The sequence below is a fragment of the Homo sapiens genome, chromosome 22 (genome assembly GCF_000001405.40).
Source record: "Homo sapiens chromosome 22, GRCh38.p14 Primary Assembly".
NCBI lineage: Eukaryota > Metazoa > Chordata > Mammalia > Primates > Hominidae > Homo > Homo sapiens.
Genome location: NC_000022.11, coordinates 17,329,968 through 17,352,003, shown reverse-complemented (window position 1 = coordinate 17,352,003; position 22,036 = coordinate 17,329,968). Strand labels below are relative to the sequence as shown.

The following is a 22,036-nucleotide window of genomic DNA, read 5'->3' as shown; positions in this document are numbered from 1 at the left end:
AATACAAAAAATTAGCTGGGCACGGTGGCATGCGCTGTAATCCCAGCTACTCGGGAGGCTGAGGCATGAGAATCATGTGAGCCCTGGAGGTGGAGGTTGCAGTGACCTGAGATCACACCACTGCACTCCAGCTTGGGCTACAGAGTGAGACTCCATCTCAAAAAAAAAAAAAATATATATATATATATTAGCCGGGCTTAGTGGCGTGTGCCTGTAGTCCCAGCTACTCAGGAGGCTGAGGCAGGAGAATTGCTTGAACCCGGGAGGTGGAGGTTGCAGTGAGCCGAGATCATGCCACTGCACTCTAGCCTGGGTGACAGAGCAAGACTCCATCTCAAAAAAAAAAAAAAAAAAAAGGGGCCGGGTGCGGTGGCTCACACCTGAATCCCAGCACTTTGGGAGGCCAAGGCGGGTGGATCATTTGAGGTCAGGAGTTCAAGACCAGCCTGGCCAATGTGGTGAAACCACATCTCTACTAGAAATACAAGAATTAGCCGGGCAGTACTTGCACGTGCCTGTAATCTCAGCTACTGGGGAGGCTGGGGCAGGAGAATCGCTTGAGCGTGGGAAGCGGAGGTTGCGGTGAGGGCATTCCAGCCTGGGCAACAGAGTGAGATGCTGTCTCAAAAAAAAAAAAGAAAGAAAGAAAGAAAGAAAGAGTGTATATAAATGAAAAAGTGTTATTTTATTACTCTGACTTAGGACTTGCTCATTGCCTGGGTGAGTGGAAAAGGTCTGTACAACCGCTAAGCGTTTCTTGCCCTCTTGTGTGGAAAAGCAAGGACTTGGTATTTCCAGGTCTCCCATCCTATTGTTTTTTTTCTTGATATACAAGAGTTCATTAACTCCAGCAAATAAAAAGCAAACTTATGCTGGTTGACTGCTTGACACTGCACTGGTATCTGGAGCATTGGCATAAACTAGCCTGTACCTGCAGGTTGTAGTCACTTAAGCATTAAGCGGGTAGCTGTTCTGGGTTGCTCTGTCTTAAGGTAACTATGGTAACTATAAAAATGATACTGTGGGATACTAGATTAATTTCTTCCTCATTGGCTTCCCAATCTAATTGACTCCGTTGACGTGAAAGGGTGACTCCCAGCTGCTGGCACCCCTGTCAATCCAACCAGGATGTGAAACATCCAGCTGTGTTTTTTCAGCTCTTTCATCGTCTTCATCTGAGAGAAAGACTCTGCTTGGATTGGTAGTGATGAGCCAAGGGGAACAGCATCAGAGAGGCTGCATAGGGGTGCAAAGAGGATAAACGAGTTTCCAGATATGCTGGTGCATAATAGGGATAGGTTATGAAGGAAAATTAAGTGGAAAGGAAAAAAAATGATATGCATTAACTCTTTGAAATTAAGGTGTTAGTGAGATAAAGACTCCCATTGTGCAAAGGGTGTTTAGCAAGATGGAGCCTGAGAAGAATGAAAGTCAAAAGTGCATTGTGATTTCATGGTCCAGAGATGCCTTAAGGGGCATGTGGGTCAACCTCCCACCCACTGAGGAATGCCTCCTGACATCTCTGAGGACACGTCAGCCTGCATTTGATCACTTTCCATTTACAGCATTGGGAGTCACTGCATCGGGAGGCAGACGACTCTAGTTTTGGTCAATTCTAACTATTCAAAGAATCTTCTTTTACAGTGAAGTGAAATCTGCCTTTCTGTAAATTTAACTTGATGATTGAAGAGCAAGATTAAAATGTATTACTTGGCCGGATGCAGTGGCTCACGCCTGTAATCCCAACACTTTGGGAAGCCAATGTGGGTGAATCACCTGAGGTCAGGAGTTCGAGACCAGTCTGGGCAACATGGTGAAACCCCGTTCTCTACTGAAAATACAAAAAATTAGCCAGGTATGGTGGTGGGTGCCTGTAATACCAGCTACTTGGGAGGCTGAGGCAAGAGAATAGCTTGAACTTGGGAGGGGGAGGTTGCAGTGAGCCAAGATTGTGCCATTGCACTCCAGCCTGGGCAACAAGAGTGAAATTCCATCTCAAAAAAAAAAAAAAATTAGCCAGGCTTGGTGGCAGGTACCTATAATCCCAGCTACTTGGGAGGCTGAAGCAGGAGAATTGCTTGAACCTGGGAGGTGGAGGTTGCAGTGAGCTGAAATCATGCCACTGCACTCCATCCTGGGTGACAGAATGAGACTCCATCTCAAAAAAAAAAAAAAGTATTACTTTCTCTTCCACGTAATAATAGCCCCTTGAAGACGCTAGTCAGTGCCACTCTAAGATTTCTCTCTTCTGCAAGTAAATACTCCCACTTCATTTATTTAATATTTATTTGTTCATTTATTCAGAGCAGGACCCAGGTGTGAATTGTTCATTATTGCATATCCAGCAACTAGAGCAGTACTTGGTTGTAGTAAGCAGTAAATAAAACAAAACCAAAACGAAACCAGAAATCATTTATTGAAGGTCTTTTCTGTGCCACGCACGGTATCCAACTGTAGATTTAGATTTACGAAGTTCAGTAAACCAGGGTCCATGCAGTTCAGCAATTAAAGTCTAGAGAGGAAGGCAAACAAATAAATCAGAGATTAGAGATCTGCATGTAGGCACAATATGTTATGGGGAGCACGGACAAAGAACATCCACACTAAGCTAGGACACCAGAGGACGCTTCCTGGACACGGAGATGCTTCAGTGCAGCTTGAAGGACATGTGTCCTTTGGGTGGACAAGGGGGAAGCTAAGAGGCGCAGTGGCATAAAATAGTCGCGTCACTCGGAGTGTCTGGGGCAAAGCATGTTTGTTGGTTGTGGAAGAAGAATGAGGCTACAGATGTAAACAGGATTCAGGTGAGGAAAGTCCTTTTGTGCTCAGCTCACAGTTAAAGCTTCATGCTGACACATTTGGAGAAGCCACTGAAAGAGTTTAAGCAAGAAAATGATAGAAACTGTTTACGTTTAGAACATTGGCACAATGATGGAGAATGGCTTGAAGAAGCAAAGGGAACAAATAGGTTGTAGTCAGAAAGACGAGTTAGAAAATAGACTGAAGTCACAAAGGCTGAAGTCAGTAATTCAGGCAGGAAGCAGTGAGGTCCTAACCGAAGGCAACAGCAGAGGGCATGAAGAAAAGGAGGAGTCAGGACAATATTGTGCAGCTAGAACCTACAGGCTTTGGTGACTGATGTGTGTTCTGCTTGAGAAATACGTGTCCTAGATTACTTGTGTTGGGAATAACACTTAAAATCTTAAGGAGATTGAACACTCAAACAAAGGATTCTTAGCAAAGCAATTTTACTTTTGCGCAGAGGGGTGCTTTTCCTTGGCCGGTCACCATGAGAGCACACCTGAACAAAGGCGCACGAGAGCCTTTATTCCTGATGCCAAGTCCTGCCCCTGTACCCTTTCCCCATTGGCCAGGGTCGGGTCGCACAAACTGAACTAATCCCGGTTGGCTAGACATTTGAACTCTTTTTAGATAAGGTGGACACGTAAGGGAGAGAGGGGAAAAGGGGAAAGGGTATCTGTAATGAGTTAGCGAGCTAGTCTTTTTTATTTTTTTATTTTTTTATTTTTTGAGACGGAGTCTCGCTCTGTCGCCCAGGCTGGAGAGCAGCGGCGCGATCTCGGCTCACTGCAAGCTCCGCCTCCCGGGTTCACGCCATTCTCCTGCCTCAGCCTCCCGAGTAGCCGGGACTACAGGCGCCCGCCACCACGCCCGGCTAATTTTTTTGTATTTTTAGTATAGACGGGGTTTCACCGTTTTAGCCAGGATAGTCTCGATCTCCTGACCTCGTGATCCGCCCGCCTCGGCCTCCCAAAGTGCTGGGATTACAGTCGTGAGCCACCGCGCCCGGTCATCTTTTTTTTTAAATAAGGAAAGAATGTGAGCTGGTACTGATAAGCCTGGTACTGTGGCGTGTCTGGGCATGTAACAAAGGCAGAAAGGAAAAAAAGAGAGAAAGGAAAAAGGGGTTTAAGGGTATATGAATTAAAGAATAAAGGATTGATAGGGCTATTTGAAGAGAAACCTCATCATATCCCACACTCGCGTGACTGGGCGAGGGATGACCTCACTGCCTGAAATCCAGACTATGGCTCTTCAGAGAAAGTTGAAGCAAGCAGGTATACACGTTGTAACCCTGAGGCACGATGAGCTGATGACCAGCCGGATGCACAGGACCAGCAGGGAGGTCCCAGTGGACGTGGTGCGGGAGCCAGCAGGGTGTAGCAAGCCCTTCGGGAGGCTCCCCAGGGAGGACATGGGAAGGGAGGGGGGCCAAGAACTAAGGACAGAGCTGTGGTCCTTCCCTCGTTCCTTCCTCGCATAGCGTGGATTCAAGACTTTTGTTGTTGTTGTTGTTGTTGTTGAGACAGAGTCTCGCTCTGTCCCCCAGGCTGGAGTGCAGTGGCGCAATCTCGGCTCACTGCAACCTCCGCCTCCCAGGTTCAAGTGATTCTCCTGCCTCAGCCTCCCAAGTAGCTGGGACTACAGGAGCGTTCCACCACGCACGACTAATTTCTGTATTTTTAGTAGAGACAGGGTTTCACTATGTTGGCCAGGCTGGTCTCAAACTCCTGACCTCAGGTGATCCGCCTGCCTCAGCCTTCCAAAGTGCTGGGATTACACGCATGAGCCACGGAGCCTGGCCCAAGACTTCTTTTTTTTTTTTTTTTTTTTTTTTGAGATGGAGTCTTGTTCTGCCACCAGGCTGGAGTGCAGTGGCGCGATTCCAAGACTTCTTAAAGTCCTGTTGAGCCTTCTCAAGGTTCTTCTTGGGATTGTACCTAACAAAACAAAGCAAAAGTTATTTCACCAACGCCCAGTATGACAGTGTTGCTTCCTTCCCTTGAGCTGATAAGCATGTTTATCTTAAGACAACCAAGCTAGCATTAGGGTTTTGGCAGCTCATCACACCATTGGTTCATATTGAGTCCAGAGACAACAGAAACCCCCCAATTTAAAAATAAACAGTCAGGCTGGCTGGGCATGGTAGCTCACACCTGTAATCAAACCAGCACTTTGGGAGGCAGAGGCGAATGGATCACTTGAGGTCAGGAGGTCAAGACCAGCCTGGCCAACATGGTGAAACTCTACTAAGAATACAAAAATTAGCCAGGCATGGTGGTGGGCACCTGTAATCCCAGCTACTGAGGACGCTGAAGCTGGAGAATTGCTTGAACTGGGGAGGCGGAGGTTGCAGTGAGCTGAGATCGTGCCATTGCACGTCAGCCTTGGCAATAGATCAAGACTCTGACTCAGATAAATAAATAAATAAATAAATAAATGGTCAGGCCAAGATCTCCTTCAACTACTTTTCTGTAATTGGTTTTTGGGATTTGATTACACAATTTTATATTTGCCTACTAGAAGATGACCCTTTCAGCCTGCATTAAACAGGCCTTCACTGCTGTCAGAATAAAGGTGCCACATGCCAGTATCATGTAGAGAATGTAAAGAAGCTTCAGAAAAGCACTGGAAAATAGCACCTACAGGAAGAGGCTGATGAGATGATGCTGCATTGTTGTCGCTGGAGAAAAGTCATGTTAAATGTGCTAATTGGCTCTGCCAAAAACAATTATGATTTTTCAGTCTCATATGAGAGACTTTAGAAATACAGAAATGTATAAACAAGAAAAATTTTGAAATCACCCATAAAAATGCTCATGTCATTACATTAAGGGGAAAAGAATACAAAATTATATATATAATTTTATTTTTATTAAAAAATATTTGTGTGGCCGGGCACGGTGGCTCAAGCCTGTAATCCCAGCACTTTGGGAGGCTGAGGTGGGCAGATTGCAGTCAGGAGTTCGAGACCAGCCTGGCTAACATGGTGAAACCCCGTCTCTACTAAACATACAAAAATTAGCCAGGCGTAGTGGCACACTCCTCTAGTCCCAGCAACTCAGGAGGCTGAGGCAGGAGAATTGCTTGAACCTGGGAGGTGGAAATTGCAGTAGCAGAGACCACGCTACTGCATCCTAGCTTGGGCGATGGAGCAAGACTCCATCTCCAAAAAAAAAAAATTATGCAAGGCAGAGCACTAATCTTTAAAATAGGTAAAATAATACTTCTTCATAGTGTTGTGAGGATTAAATAAGCAAAGTATTCCTGGCACACAGTAAATTTTTTTAAGTAACTATTATTAAGGAAATATAGTAAAAATATTGTTTGTCTTTGGGCTATATGACAACGATGGCCACCTCCTCAACCTTCTTTCTATTTTTGTGCATTTCTCAAATATTCTATTACGATTATGTGTTACCTTTATATGGAAAAAGATAAATTTTAATGGAAAAACAATACATACTAATTGTAGAGATATAGAAATAAACTAAAACACAGTATTGTAGAAAACAAAATTGCCAGCTGGGCACAGTGGCTCACGCCTGTAATCCCAGCACTTTGGGCGGCCAAGGTGGGTGGATCACTTGGGGTCAGGATATATATATATTTTGTTTGTTTGTTTGTTTGAGACGGAGTCTTGCTCTGTCCCCCAGGCTGGAGTGCAGTGGCGCGATCTTGACTCATTGCAACCTCCACCTCCTGGGTTCAAGCGATTCTCCTGTCTCTGCCTCGTGAGTAGCTGGGATTACAGGCACATGCCACTATGCCCGGCTAAGTTTTGTAATTTTAGTAGAGATGGCATTTCACTATGTTGGTCAGGCTGGTCTGGAACTCCTGACCTCAGGTGATCCACCCACCTCGGCCTCCCGAAGTGCTGGGATTACAGGCGTGAGCCAACGTGCCCTGCCTTACATAAATTTTTTTTTTAGAGATGGAGTCTTGCTCTGTCACCCATGCTAGGGTGCAGTGGGGCGTGATCTCTGCTACTGCAACCTCCACCTCCTAGGTTGAAGCAATTCTCCTGTCTCAGCCTCCTGAGTAGCTAGGACTACAAGTGTGTGCCACTATGCCCGGCTAATTTTTGAATTTTTTTTCTTTTTTGAGACGGAGTTTCACTCTTGTTACCCAGGCTGGAGTGCAATGGCGCCATCTCAGCTCACCTCCGCCTCCTGGGTTCAAGCGATTCTCCTGCCTCAGCCTTCTGAGTAGCTGGGATTACAGGCATGCGCCACTACGCCCAGCTAATATCGTATTTTTAGTAGAGACTGGGTTTCTCCATGTTAGTCAGGCTGGTCTCGAACTCCTGACCTCAGGTGACCCACCTGCTTCGGCCTCCCAAAGTGTTAGGATTACAGGTGTGAGCCACCGCGCCTGGACTAATTTTTGTATTTTTAGTAGAGATGGGGTTTCACCATGTTAGCCAGGCTGGTCTCGAACTCCTGACCTCAGGCAATCTGCCCGCCTCAGCCTCCCAAAGTGCTGGGATTACAGGCTTGAGCCACCGCAGCCCGGCCACATAAATATTTTTTAATGAAAATGAAATTATATATATAATTTTGTATCCTTTTCCCCTTAATGTAATGACATGAGCATTTTTATGGGTGATTTCAAAATTTTTCTTGTTCATACATTTCTGTATTTCTGAAGTCTCTCATAATGACCACGTGTTATTTTAAAAATAGTATTCACTTTTACTAATCATAGTAATGTATGTCATATAATGAATAATATAGTAGAATAATATATAATACATGCTCAATGTGTAAAACAAAACTACAGAAAAATCCACATCACATAAAGAAAAAGTAGCCGGGCTCAGGGGTTCATGCCTGTAAATCCAACACTTTGAGAGGCTGAGGGGGTGCACTGCTTGAGCCCAGGAGTTTGAGACCACCCTGGCCAACATGGTGAAACCCTGTCTCTACAAAAAATACAAAAATTAGATAGGCGTGGTGGCGCGAGCCTGCAGTCCCACATACTTAGGGGATTGATGTGGAAAAATCGCTTGAACCCAGAAGGCAGTGGTTGCAGTGACCCAAGATTGCACCTCTGCACTCCAGCCCTGGTGACAGAGTGAGACTCTGTCTGAAAAAATAAAATAAAATAAAAATTAGCTAGGTGTGGTGGTGTGCACCTGTAGTCCCAGCTACTCAGGAGGTGAAGGTGGGAAAATTGCTTGAGCCCAAGAGGTCGAAGCTCCAGTGAGCTGCAGTTGCACCACTGCACTCCAGCCTGGGCAGTGAAGTGAGGCGCTGTCTCAAAAAAAAAAAAAAAAGGAAGTAAGAAAAATAAAAATAAAAAAAGAAATGAATAAAAAAAATTGTTGAGGCTGGGCACAATGGCTCATGCCTGTAATACCCAGCACTTGGGGAGGCCAAGGGCCAAGGTGGGAGAATTGCTTGAGGCCAGGAGGTCAAAACCAGGTATCACAGGGAGACCTCACCTCTACAAAATAATTTTAAGGCCATGGCCAGGCATGGTGGCTCACGCCTGGAATCTCAACGCTTTGGGAGACCAAGGTGGGTGGATCACTTGAGGTCAGGAGTTTGAGACCAGCCTGGCCAACATGGTGAAACTCTGTCTCTACTAAAAATACAAAAATTAGCTAGGCATGGTTGAATGCACCTGTAATCCCAGCTACTTGGGAGGCTGAGGCAGAAGAATCACTTGAACCTGGGAGGTGGAAGTTGTAGTGAGCTGAGATCTCAACACTGCACTCCAGCCTGGGCAACAGAGCTAGACTCTGTCTCAAAAAAAAAAAAAAAATGCCGGGCGTGGTGGCTCACGCCTGTAATCCCAGCACTTTGGGAGGCCAAGGCGGGTGGATCACAAGATCAGGAGTTCAAGACCAGCCTGGCCAAGACGGTGAAACCCCATCTCTACTAAAAGTACAATAATTAAGCACCTGTAATCCCAGCTACTAGGGAGGCTGCGGCAGGAGAATCATTTGAACCTGGGCGGCAGAGTTTGCTGTGAGCCAAGATTGTGCCACAGCACTCCAGCCTATGTGGTGACAGAGTGAGACTCCGTCTCAAAAAAAAAAAAAACGGATTTTAAGGCCATAGCGGGTACAGTGGTTCATCCCTGTAATCCCAGCACTTTGGGAGGCCGATGTGGGAGCATCACATGAGGCCAGGAATTTGAGACCAGCCTGGGCAAAATGGCGAAACCCCATCACTACATAACATACAAAAATTAGCTGGGTGTAGTGGCAAACACCTGTGGTCCTAGAGACTCGGGAGGCTGAGGCAGGAGGATCACTTGAGCCTAAGAAGTTGAGATTGCAGTGAGCTGTGATTGAGCCACTGCACCCCAGCCTGAGAGACAGAGAGGGAGACCCTGTCTCAACAACTAAAAAAAAAAAAAAAAAAACATAAAAAATTCAAAACAAGAAAAACTGCATGTAATACCATTACGTACATATGTTACCATTAACATTGTTGTACTTACTATTAACACTGTTGTACGTCGTTATACATGTCTCTCATGTATAACTTTTATATTTGGAAGACAAAAATCTACACTCCATGGTCTCTGCTCCGCCCCTCCTGGCCCCTGCCTGCTGCTTGTCCTCCCTCGGTGGAAGCCTGGAATTGTGTCCTGACTGGTGTCCTTGCCTGCAGGCTCTTCTTTCCAGGCCACCCTGCACACTGTTTCCAAGTATCTGATCCTGTCACTTCTCTGCTTGAAAACATTTCCTGTCTCTGCATTGCTTACAGGATAAGTTCCAAACTCCTTAGCTCTGCATGCAAGATTCTCTGCACTCGATCCCACCTACCTGCCTCCACCTCAACTTCTCCAACACAAACATAGGCCAGGCCCCTACTCTCCTCTGAACAATACACACTTTCCCACCTCCGTGTGTCTGCTGACCCTGATTCCGGAAGTTCTTTTCCTACACATACTTGAGGAAATTGTACTTGTCCTTCAAGATGCATCTCAGGCTGGGCCCGGTGGCTCACGCCTGTAATCCCAGCACTTTGGGAGGCTGAGGTGGGTGGATCACGAGGTCAGGAGATCGAGACCATCCTGGCCAACATGGTGAAACCCCGTCTCTAGTAAAAATACAAAAAATTAGCTGGGCATGGTGGCACGCACCTGTAGTCCCAGCTACTGGGGAGGCTGAGGCAGGGGAATTGCTTGAACCCAGGAGGCGAAGTTTGCAGTGAGCCGAGATCCAGCCACTGAACTCCAGCCTGGCGACAGAGCAAGACTCCACCTCAAAAAAAAAAAAAAGATTCATCTCAAAGGAGACCTCTTTGGGCCACCCTCCCAGTACTCCTCTGGAAGAGTTATTTTATTGCATGGCAGTGCTGTGTGCATATTCACCTTCCCTAAAACTTTGTGTGTCACCTCCTACCAGAGCGCAATCTCATGTAATAATCTGTGCACTTCTCGCACCTAAATGGTGCCTGATGCATGATAGCCTTTAGCTGAATGCAGAAAGGAACATCTGTATGTTTGTCTTTCACTCAGCTAATCAAGCAACTAGCATTTCTGAAGTATTTACCATGTGCTCAGCATGTGCAAGACTGTAGAACTGTCAAAAGACTCAACACTTTTTAATTTTCAAATTAAATTAAATATTAAATTAAACTTATTTTAGAGATAGGGCCTTGCTCTGTCACATTGTCCAGGGTGGAGTGCAGTGGCTTACTGTAGCTTCTAATTCCTGAGCTTAAGGGATCCTTGTGTTTCAGCCTCCCAATTAGCTGGGACTACTGGCGGTCATCACCACACGTGGATAATTTTTAAAATCCTTCCTTCCTTCCTTCCTTCCTTCCTTCCTTCCTTCCTTCCTTCCTTCCTTTCTTTCTTTCTTTCTTTCTTTCTTTCTTTCTTTCTTTCTTTCTTTCTTTCTTTCTTTCTTTCTTTCAGACTGGGTCTCTCAGCCAGGTGCAGTGACTCATGCCTGAAATCCCAGCACTTTGGGAGGCTGAGGCGGGCAGATCACCTGAGGTCAGGTGTTCAAGACCAGGCTGGCCAACAGGTGAAACCCTGTCTCCATTAAAAACACAAAAATTAGCCGGGCTTGGTGGTGGGCACCTTTAATCCCAGCTACTCAGGGGCTGAGGCAGAAGAATCGCTTGAATCCGGGAGGCAGAGGTTGCAGTGAGCCAAGATTGTGCCATTGCACTCCAGCCTGGGTGACAAGAACAAAACTCCATAAAAAAAAAAAAAATCAGGTCTCACTTTGTTGACCAGGCTGGAGTACAGTGGCATGAACACCGCTTACTGCAGCCTCCACCTCCTGGGCTCAAGTGATTCTCCCACCTCAGCCCCCTAAGTAGCTGAAACTAATTTTTGTATTTTTTTGGTATGTAGAAATGGGGTTTTGCCATGTTGCCCAGGCTGGTCTTGAACTCCTGGGCTCAAGAGATCCTCCTGACTCCCAGCCTCTCAGAGACCTGGGATTATAGGTATGAGCCACTGCACCCGGTCTTAACATTCTTTTGTAGAGGTGAGGTCTCACCATGTTGCTTGGTTTTGAACTCCTGGCCTCAAGTAATCTTCCCACATGCAGGATGAGCCGCTGTGCCCAGCCTCAACATATTTTTTAAAATTTTTATTCATTTATTTTTTTCTTTTTTGTTCTTTTTTTCTTTCTTTTTTTTTTTTTTTTTGAGACGGAGTCTAGCTCTGTAGCCCAGGCTGGAGTGCAGTGGTGCAATCTCAGCTCACTGCAACCTCCGCCTCCCAGGTTCAAGCGATTCTCCTGCCTCAGCCTCCTGAGTAGCTGGGATTACAGGTGCGTGCCACCATGCCCAGCTAATTTTTGTATTTTTAGTAGAGACGGGGTTTCACTATGTTGGTCAGGCTGGTCTCGAACTCCTGACCTCATGATCCACCCGCCTCAGCCTCCCAAAGTGCTGGGATCACAGGCGTGAGCCACCAGGCCCGGCCTTTTTTTTTTTTTTTTTTTTTTTTTTTGAGACAACCTCTCACTCTGTTGCCCAGGCTGGAGTGCAGTGGCACAATCACAGCTCACTGAAGCCGTAACCTCTTGGGCTCAAGTGATTCTCCCACTTCTACCTCCTGAGTAGCTGGGACTAGAGGTGTGTGCCATCACACCTAGCTAATTTTGTTTATTTATTTATTTATTTTAGAGATGGGATCTCACTATGTTGCCCAGGGTGGGTTTGAACTCCTGGGCTCAAGCAACCCTCCCACCTCAGACTCCCAAAGTGCTGGGACTACAGATGTGAACCACTGTGCCCGGCCTCCAAAATTTTTTAAAAAATTAATACAACAAAGATTTTTTGAGTGTGTAATATTTGCTGTGAGAATATTAAAGAAGTAAAAGGCATGGTTTTTAATCTCAAGAGAGGCTTTCAATCTATTGTATAGGGAGATACAACTTTGTTCCATGGAATGAATGTAAATAATACAAGCAAATTCCTGTGAAATGTAAAGGCAAGTGGAGGAGAGATGGCATAATGTCTGTGACAGAACACTGGACCAGGAGCTGGGAGGCTTGGTTCCTGCTTATCACTTGCTACCCGAACAAGGTAACCTTGGAGAGATCGCTTAATCTCATTTGGTAAAATCAATGTTTTGATTTTATTGCCTACTGAGATTCCTCTCAGCTCTTTGATTCTATAAGTAAGTGCTATGGGATACCGAAAGGGAGCAATGACCGTGGCTTAGAGTTGCTGGAGGAAAGCTCATGGTGAAGGTGAAATCTGAGCTGAACTTAAACTAGAGGTGAGGTCCGGATAGCCAGGAGAGGAGGCGGAAAGGCATTTCAGATATGGGGAACAACATCAACAAAGGGACAGGCAGAGACAGGATTGGGCAGGCGTGCTTGTGGGGTGGACTAAACAAGGCTATCTTCAGTGGAGAATGTTTGTTAGAGAAGATTGGGAAACAGCTCGGGTAGGTTGCCTAGGGCCAGGAAGGACTTAAGAGAGACATATTGAAAGCAGTGAAGCTATTTTAGGATACTTGCAAAAGCCAGGAATGAGGTAACGAGGGCAAAGATTAGCTTTGCACCAGTGGGAAGTCAGAGCAATGGGTGATGAGAAGCTGCAAAGATAGCATCAGGAACCTGGCTTGGCCATACAGGCTGCAGGAGAGGAAATTAGTCAAAAACACCTCTTAAGTTTTAGACCAGAGAAAGTGCACAGATCAGGTTCTGACCCAGGTTCCCTTGCCTCCAGGAGACAGAATGGGATTCCCCAGCAGTAGGAGTGAAGACTACTGAAGCTCTTCCATACGCCACACTCCCGAGGACTCCTGCAAAAAACCTTTTAGAGACTATGTTAATTTAGTTTTTGTTTTTAGACACAGGGTCTCTCTATGTCGCCCAGGTTGGACAGCAGTGGCTATTCACAGGAGTGATCATAGCTCACTGCAGACTTGAACTCCTCCCCTCAAGAGTTCCTCTCATGTCAGCCTGCTGAGTAGCTGGGGCTACAGGTGTGTGCCACAGTGCCCAACTCATTTTTTATTTTTTAATAAGATTTTCTAGTGTACTTTAAAATTCTCTGAGCTTGTAATATATTTTGAAAGTTTCAAATTTAACTTAATCAAGGAACTCATATGATTTCCTCTAGTCTCTTTAGAAATTAAAAGGTGTATTAAATTAGTAATATCCAAATGTAAAGATCCGAGGAAGACAAACATTGGTTTTATATGGATGGATTTTGTTAAAATAACATTGCTGGCGTGTTTGCTTCAGGAAGGTGATCTGGGTTGCTATTGGCTAGAGGTGAAAGGAAGATGTATTACTGATTCCCAATAGAATATAGAATACTTAAAATAAAAATCTAAACTATGAAAGCATACTGAAGAGAAATATCTTTTTGTTTTTTCTGAGATCAGATCCCGCTATGCTGCTCAGGCTGGTCTTGAACTCACAGGCTCAAGCAATCCTTCCTCCTCAGCCTCCTGAGTAGCTGGGACTACAGGTGCATGTCACCACACCTGGCTAAAAGAAATACCTTGTTGGTTTATTACATTTATTAATTTACATGTATTCATTCTTCAACAAATACTCCTGGGTCAAAAATTATGCTATGATGCTATAAGCTGCAAAAAACAAACAAGAAAAAAGGCAATGTTTGTTACCTTCAGGAAACTTATACTCCAGGAAGGGAGACAGAAGTAAGCGAACAACTATGCTGTAATTTTATTAGTCACGGTCCAGCAAGATACAGAGGCACACTCCGATGGAATTCAGAGGAGAAGGAAACGAAGGACTTTTTACAGCGGGGGAGCAAGGTTAAAGGAACCGATGTGGGATGTTGAGGCACTCAGGAACCAGAAAAGACACGGAGCCACTGTCACCGCCAGGCCTGAAGGGGCACGGGTGCGGACAGTGTGAATGGCACCCTAGAGAGAGATAGGAGAAGGGACTGCCCTGCCAGTGCGAGAGTCATGGAGAAATGTAGTCAGTGCCAGAGCTAAATACCAGGAACACAGCAGAGCAGGAAACATCCCATCCCTCTCTCCTCCTGCCTTCTGAGCCCTCAGTGGTCCCTCCAAGTGGCCCAGCCACTTAGCACCCAGCCAACTGGCAAGGGAGCCCGAGTGATAGGTCCGCAGGGATCAGTCTGTTGCGATGGAGAAGAGGCAGAGAAAGGATGGCAAGGGCCAGAGAATAACCAGCTCAACAATGTACTATTCTATGACAAAGGCAGAGAGGACAGAAAGTCAGAAGACCCTGCCAGAGAGGGACCAGGCTGCTAGAGATGGGACCTAGGCACAGCTCTGGAAACCGCTTTTGTGAGCAGAGACAGACACAAGGGTGGAGGGATGGAGCACTTGCCAGGTTCAGGATTAACTTGGCTACAGGTAACAACAACAGCAGAAGTTACTTAAACAATATAAAATGTGTTGTCACCAAGGAAGACAGGTGTGGAGCTCTACAGTAGGGAGAGGCCAGGCTCCTTCTAAGAGCCCTACTGCTCTACTGTCCTCAACACACAGTTTCTACCTCCCGATGCCATCAGCCCTTGTGTCCCATTAGCAGGAAGGAGAAGGAGCAGTTTCATGCCCAGTTGAAAATCAGGGCTTCTATTCTGAGGGAAGAAGGAGAGGATGGATGTTGGAAGATAATTCACAATTTCTGCCAAAGGAAGGGGTAAAGGTGGAGTGATTCCAAACAGATGCCTTGCCTCAGATGGTTAACCATTTAAAGTAAACTAGAACCAGGCGCAGTGGCTCACACCTGTAATCTCAGCACTTTGGGAGGCCGAGGCAGGAGGATTGTTTGAGCCCAGGAGTTTGAAACCACTCTGGGCAACATAGCAGGACAGTGTTTCTGCAAAACTTCTCTTTTAAATAGCTGGGCATAGTGATGCACGCCTGTGGTCCTCAGTACTAGGGAGGCTAAGGTGGGAGAATTGCTTGAGCCCAGGGGATTGAGGCTGCAGTGAGCTATGATCACGCCACTGCACTCCAGCCTGAGCAACAGAGCGAGACCTTGTCTAAAAAAAAAAAAAAAGTAAATAAATAAACAAAGGCCAAGTGCCGTGTCTCATGCCTGTAACCCCAGCACTTTGGGAGATCGAGGAGGGTGGATTGCTTGAGGTCAGGAGTTCAAGACCAGCCCAACCAGCATGGTGAAACCCGGTCTCTACTAAAAATACAAAAATTAGCTGGGCGTGGCGGCACGTGCCTGTAATCCCAGCTACTCAGGAGGCTGAGGCAGGAGAATCACTTGAACCCAGGAGGCGGAGGTTGTAGTGAGCTGACATCGTGCCACTGCACTCCAGCCTGGGTGACAGAGAGAGACTCTGTCTCAAAAATTAAATAAATAAATAAATAAATAAATACTAGAAGATTACTTAATACAAATGGAAAATCATTTTTCCGTTGACAAGGCAATAGGTATTATGGGAAAGTTGAAGAATCAGGAATCAGAAATGCTGAGTTCTAGTTCCCCGTTTGTTATTTACTAAGCAAGGGACCTTAAGCAAATCAGTTCACTTTCTGCATCTCGATTTCCTCATCTGTAAAATGAGCAAGTCTGTCTCTTTAAAGGTTCCCCTTTCTGTGTTTGCCAAAAAAAAATGTTTTCTCTATGCTAATACCAAGATTCACAGACGCTGTAAAATAATAAGATTATAGTCAGTTCAAGGTGAAAAACCTTGAGTTGCCGTGTTAATATAATCAATTTAAATGATACAGGTTTAGTTTTTTTTTTTTTTTTTTTGGTTCTTTGCTGCTCTGAAAGGTCCTCAAAAAGTCTAGAAACATTCCAATTATAATATTTTGGGAATGTATACACACCCAAATGAAAAAAAAATTGTATGTATGTGTTCTCAAAATATTTCTAGTGGAAAAATTTGAAAATTATACTGAATTTTTCAGAATGAAGTAAAAATGTAGACACTACATTGATAGTTTAACAAGCAGTCCTTCTTTTTTTTTTTTTTTTTAAGAGAAGTCTCGCTCTTGTCCCCCAGGTTTGAGTGCAATTGCTCAATCTTGGTTCACTGAAACCTCTGCCTCCCGGGTTCAAACGATTCTCCTGCCTCTGCCTCCCAAGTAGCTAGGATTAAGTCGCCTGCCACGCCCAGCTAATTTTTGTATTTTTTAGTAGAGACGGGGTTTTACCATGTTGACCAGGCTGGTCTCAAACTCCTGACCTCAGGTTATCCACCTGCCTCACCGTCCCAAAGTGCTGGGATTACAGGCGTGAGCCACCGTGCCCAGCCAACAAGCAGTCCTTCTTAAAAATGAGTTGACCATCTGGCCAGGTGCAGTGGTGGACGCCTGTAGTTCCAGCTACTCAGGAAGCTGAGGTGGGAGGATCACTGGCTAAGCCCAGGAGATTGCAGTGAACCGAGATTGCACGACTGCACTCCAAGCTGGGCGACAGAATCAGACCCTGTCTCAAAAAAAAAAAAAAATTAGTTGACTAATAAGAGAATAGAAGTTAGTAAGAGTATCTGTTAGATATTATTTCCTATTCAAACTGGGTTCCTCCTGTTTATACCCAGAGCTGACCTGGAGCAAACTTTCTTTTTTGTTTGTTTGTTTGCTTTTGAGACAGAGCCTCGCTCTGTCACCCAGGCTGAAGTGCAGTGGCATGATCTCAGCTCACTGCAACCTCGATGCCGCACCCCCCACCACTCCCTGACCTGGGTTCAAGCGACTCTCCTGCCTCAGCCTTCCAAGTAGCTGGGATTACAGGCGTGTGCCACCACATCCAGCTAATATATATATATATATTAGTAGAGACAGGATTTCCACATGTTCCCCAGGCTGGTCTGGAACTTCTGAGCTCAAGCAATTCGCCCGCCTCGGCCTCCCAAAGTGCTGGGATTACAGGTGTGAGCCACAGCATCTGGCCTACCAGTATTAACTTAAGTAATCTAGAGATGTATCTGGTAAGACATTGTCCCCATATAGCCTAGAGAATCGGGGGGAGACATAAATAATTGAAATGAACGATTAAGCGTTCTCAATATTAAGGTAAGTGGAGGGCATGATGTGATCCCAGGAAATGAGCTTGATAAGTAACATAGACATTTCACTAAGGTAAGATTTTGCCACCAGCTCGGCCCAGTTGCACACTGTTTGGAAATACAGAGTCTTTCCATCCTAGAGTGGTATTGCGGTTGGTGATATGATATAGAAACAAATGCCTCCACACCTCCTGATCTGCTTTTGCAGACCTCCAGCCTCAGTCCCTGAAGTCGCCGACTCTCCTGCATTGCTGCGTCTAGAAAGGAATGCCTTCCAGGTGATCCAGGCTCTGATACGGTGGAATATAAACAGGTTAATCAATAATAGCCCAGAAATGGACAAACTCTCTGAGCTGCAGCGGACCTCCAGTCAGTCCCTCCTGTTGTTGATGACAAACGGGGGGTTTGCACTGGAGAGGCACAGGTGGCCCAGTCATTCGTGCAGGCTCTGAGCAGCCTGCCTGGGTTGTAGCTTGGCTCCAGCGCTCCTGCTAGCTGTGTAACTGAGGCCGATTACTTCATCCTGAACACTTCCAGTTCCTCATCTATAGAACAGGAATAGCAGCAGCAACTTGTCTCATGGGGTTGGTGAGGATTATTAATTATTACATACACAACACCTGGAGCAATGCTTAGCACACAGTGAGCTCTCAACAAAGGACAGGGATTATTGTTATTGCTGGTGCGCTTGGTGCTGAGAAGCTTGCTCATACCCTGGGCCCAGAGGAGGAAAATGGGTGGTCTTTACCTCAGTGACATGAGCCCTATTCTTATAAAATACAGGCGATAAGGCCTCTGCTTCAGCACAGGTGTAATTAAGGCAAAACAACATAAAACCAAAACAAACAAACTTCAATGTGCTAAGGCCCTGAAGAAAGGGAAGGAGAGAACTCATTTAACTCATTTTAAATTTTTAATTTTTGTGGGTATATAGCACGTGGTATATAATGAGAACTAATTTTTTTTTGTTGTTTTTTAGATGGAGTTTTGCTCTGTTGACGAGGCTGGAGTGCAAGGTGCGATCTCAGCTCACTGCAACCTCCACCTCCTGGGTTCAAGCGATTCTCCCGCCCCAGCCTCCCGAATAGCTGGGACTACAGGCGCGTGCCACCATGCCTGGCTAATTTTTGTATTTTTAGTAGAGACAGGGTTTCACCACCTTGGCCAGGCTGGTCTCGAACTCCTGACCTTGTCATCCACCCGTCTCGGGCTCCCAAAGTGCTGGGATTACAGGCGTGAGCCACCGCGCCGGGCCGGAGAACTAATTTCTATAGACTGTCTCCCATGGGCTGCATATGTGGGGAGGGGCTATGTAAAAAGGCTAGCTCCTTTTTACATAGGAAGAAATTGAGAACCAAAGAGGTTTTTCAAGCATACGTAGCCAGCAGCATTGGCAAGTCTATAGCGACAAAAGCCCCTAGGGTGGGGGCTGAGGGAACTAGTTGGGGAGGTTTGGGGAAAGCGGGAGTGACATTAACAGGTATGGGATTCTTTTCTAGGGAAGAGGAAAATGTTATAAAATGGATTGTGGTGATGGTCGCACAACTCTGAATATACTAAAAACCATGTAATTTTATACTTTATATGGGTGAATTATATGGTTTGTGAATAATAAAGTGGTTTATTGGGAGGCTGAGGCGGGCAGATCACTTGAGGTCAGGAGTTTGAGACCAGCCTGGCCAACATGGTGAAACCCTGTCTCTACTAAAAATACAAAAAACAGCTGGGCATGGTGGCGGGCGCCTGTAATCCCAGCTAATCAGGAGGCTGAAGCAGGAGAATCGCTTGAACTGGGGAGATGGAGTTTGCAGTGAGTTGAGATTGCGCCACTGCACTCTAGCCTGGGCGACAGAGCAAGATCCTGTCTCAAAAATAATAAAATAAAATAAAGTGGTTGAATAAGAAAAAGTCCCCAGCCAGGAGGCATCAAAGCCTGGATTCAGACTAGGGCCAGGCCTGGGCGCTTTTCATTCCTGTCCCTCTCACAGAGATTGGAGCATGGGAACCCTCTCCAGGAGACACTACGCAGAAAAATCGTCCTCCATCCTAGAGATGGGCGGTTAAAGAAGATGCTTAGGGGCCTCAGGAGATGAAGTCTGTGAGCCATCAGCCTTTTGTGGCTCATGGCTTTCTTAAGAATAGCCAGGAGAGTGGGCCTCACCCAGTCCCGCCTCTGTGGGGAACAGCCCTGCGTTGTAAAGGAGGGTTTCCTGGGAGGGGCCCAGCAAACTAGAAATGGAGTGGCTCGCGAGTGAGCTATTGTAAGCTCAGAAACCTGGACACCGCCTGTCGCCTCTGTGATTTTTATTTCTCTTGTTTATTTTCTTTTTGGCTTTCCTTAACTTTTAGGAAAGTTCCTTTGGTACATTCCCACTAGTCCCAACTGTGTTCAGGAGACAGGAAGACTTGGTGTTTTCCATGCTTGGGCCAGAGGGAGGTGAGGAGGAGACTTACTACTACTGCGGGCCAGGGCAGCCAGAAGCAGCAGACGGGCACCCAGCCCCTCAGGTGCGCCAGTTAGGAGGGCTTCCCAGTCAGCTGCAGACGCTCTGTGACCTCCCAACAGCGGCTGCCTCCCTCTGCAGGCCCCTGTGAAAAGGGAGGACGTCAGAAGACCACCCCTTTCATGATTCCGGAGGCAGGGCAGAATGGCAGTCATCTTTGTTGCATTGGCAAATTCATTCCTTTAGCCCAGTTTTATTCGATTTATTTGGCCAAGGAGAGAGAATTTGGAAGTTAGTATTATGTTTAAGCCAAAACTAACAATACTGGCACTTTATATACTATTCCTGACTTTTTGTTTGTTTGTTTATTTTGCTTTTGTTTTTTGAGACAGTCTCTGTTGCCCAGGTTGGAGTGCAGTGGCGCAATCTCTGTTCACTGGCACCGCCACGCCTGTCTAATTTTCGTATTTTTAGTAGAGACTGGGTTTCATCATGTTGGCCAGGCAGGTCTCCAACTCCTGACCTCAGGTGATCCGCCCCCCTTGGCCTCCCAAAGTGCTGGAATTACGGGCATGAGCCACCGCGCCTGGCCTATTTAGTAGTTTATTTAATTTATAATTTGCCTCTTTTTTGTTTTCATTATTTTCATTTTTTTTTTTTTTTTTTGAGACAGAATCTCACTCTGTTGCCCAGGCTGGAGTGTAGTGGCACAATCTCAGGCTGGAGTGCAGTGGCACAATCTCGACTCACTACAACTTCCACCTCCCCAGTTCAAGTGATTCTTTGCCTCAGCCTCCTGAGTAACTGGGATTACAGGTGTGCACCACCACACCCGGCTAATTTTTGTATTTTTAGTAGAGACAGGGTTTCACTCTGTTGGCCAGGCTGGTCTCGAACTCTTGACCTCAAGTGATCCACTCACCTTGGTCTCCCAAAGTGCTGGGCTTCTGGAGGCGGAGGTTGCACTGAGCGGAGATCGCACCACTGCACTCCAGCCTGGGCAACAGAGCGAGACTCTGTCTCAAAAATAAATAAAATAAATAATAAAGTAAAGAAAAACATTATTTAAAAAAAAAAGCGCTGAGCTTACAGGCGTCAGCCACCGTGCCTGGCCTATTATTATTATTTTTTTGAACAGAATCTTGCTCTGTTGCCCAGGCTGGAGTGCAGTGGTGGCACAACGCCAACCTCAACCTCATGGGCTCCAGTGATCCTCCAGCTTCAGGCTCCTGAGTAGCTGGGACTACAGGCATGTGCCAGCACACCCGGTTAATTTTTAAATTATTATTATTATTTTTTGTAGAGACAGAGTCTCACTATGTTGCTCAGGCTGGTCTTAAACTCCTGAGCTCAAGGGATCCTCCCCACTCAGCATCTCAAAGTGCTGGGATTACAGGCGTGAGCCACCACGCCTGGCTAATTTTAAAAAATATATATAAATACAGATGGTGGTTTTGCTATGTAAAACAGATGTTAACATGTAAAGAAGTGCTGCAATGAATTGTTTTGATGAGAAGAATCACCACTGAAAATGTATTGTACTTACACTTTTTTTTTTTTTTTTTTTGAGACAGAGTCTTGCTCTGTCGCCCAGGCTGGAGTGCAGTGGTGGGATCTCCGTTCACTGCAAGCTCCGCCTCCCGGGTTCACGCCATTCTCCTGCCTCAGCCTCCCGAGTAGCTGGGACTACAGGTGCCGCCACCATGCCCGGCTAATTTTTTTGTATTTTTAGTAGAGACGGGGTTTCACCGTGTTAGCCAGGATGGTCTCGATCTCCTGGCCTCGTGATCTGCCTGCCTCGGCCTCCCAATTTACACTTTTTATTTTCTTTTTCTTCTGCCCAGGCTGGTCTCAAACTCCTGGGCTCAAGCAATTCTCCAGCCTCAAACTGTGCTGGGATTACAGGTATGAGCCACCATGCCTGGTCTTTTTGTTTAAGGTACCTTACATACATACAAAAAAAGAAGTTTGAAAGAATTGTACGAGTTAAATCATTGTATGAATTTAAACATTTGAGAAAAGCAGATGCTAACATGTAAAGAAGTACTGCAATAAATTGTTTTGATGAGAATAATCAGCACTGAAAATGTATTGTATTTACACTTTTTATTTTCTTTTTATTTTTTTGAGACAGAATCTCACTCTGTCGCCCAGGCTGGAGTGCTGTGGTGCGATCTTGGCTCACTGCAACCTCCACCTCCCTGGTGCAAGCGATTCTCCTGCCTTAGCTTCCTGAGTTACACTTTTTATTTTCCAAATTATTCACAATAAGCATGAATAACTTTTACAACAGGGAAATATTATTTTAAACTTAATTAAAATAACAACTCCTTTTATTATTTTTCAATTTTCTACTTTTCTTTTCTTTTT

At 45.7% G+C, this 22,036-nt stretch overlaps 6 annotated features.

Annotated features, from left to right (window-relative positions):
* Positions 4,651-4,945: an enhancer, noted in NCBI's record as "tiled region #13223; K562 Activating DNase matched - State 9:DNaseU". NCBI's record gives its function as "activates a minimal TATA promoter and a strong SV40 promoter by Sharpr-MPRA in K562 cells {active_cell/tissue: K562}" and the evidence as "EXISTENCE:reporter gene assay evidence [ECO:0000049][PMID:27701403]".
* Positions 10,630-10,874: a silencer, noted in NCBI's record as "fragment chr22:17822020-17822264 (GRCh37/hg19 assembly coordinates)". NCBI's record gives its function as "represses an EF-1alpha promoter that drives an FKBP-Casp9 reporter gene in an ReSE screen in HepG2 liver carcinoma cells and K562 erythroleukemia cells {active_cell/tissue: HepG2 | K562}" and the evidence as "EXISTENCE:reporter gene assay evidence [ECO:0000049][PMID:32094911]".
* Positions 13,462-13,631: an enhancer, noted in NCBI's record as "experimental_62420 CRE fragment used in MPRA reporter constructs". NCBI's record gives its function as "activates a minimal promoter by MPRAs in K562 erythroleukemia cells, with activity observed for both the introgressed and non-introgressed 22:17819348 variant alleles {active_cell/tissue: K562}" and the evidence as "EXISTENCE:reporter gene assay evidence [ECO:0000049][PMID:34662402]".
* Positions 19,263-19,763: an enhancer, noted in NCBI's record as "H3K4me1 hESC enhancer chr22:17813131-17813631 (GRCh37/hg19 assembly coordinates)". NCBI's record gives its function as "activates a minimal SCP1, AML or CMV promoter by ChIP-STARR-seq in naive H9 embryonic stem cells {active_cell/tissue: H9 hESC(naive)}" and the evidence as "EXISTENCE:reporter gene assay evidence [ECO:0000049][PMID:30033119]".
* Positions 19,764-20,264: an enhancer, noted in NCBI's record as "H3K4me1 hESC enhancer chr22:17812630-17813130 (GRCh37/hg19 assembly coordinates)". NCBI's record gives its function as "activates a minimal SCP1, AML or CMV promoter by ChIP-STARR-seq in naive H9 embryonic stem cells {active_cell/tissue: H9 hESC(naive)}" and the evidence as "EXISTENCE:reporter gene assay evidence [ECO:0000049][PMID:30033119]".
* Positions 21,304-21,481: a silencer, noted in NCBI's record as "fragment chr22:17811413-17811590 (GRCh37/hg19 assembly coordinates)". NCBI's record gives its function as "represses an EF-1alpha promoter that drives an FKBP-Casp9 reporter gene in an ReSE screen in K562 erythroleukemia cells {active_cell/tissue: K562}" and the evidence as "EXISTENCE:reporter gene assay evidence [ECO:0000049][PMID:32094911]".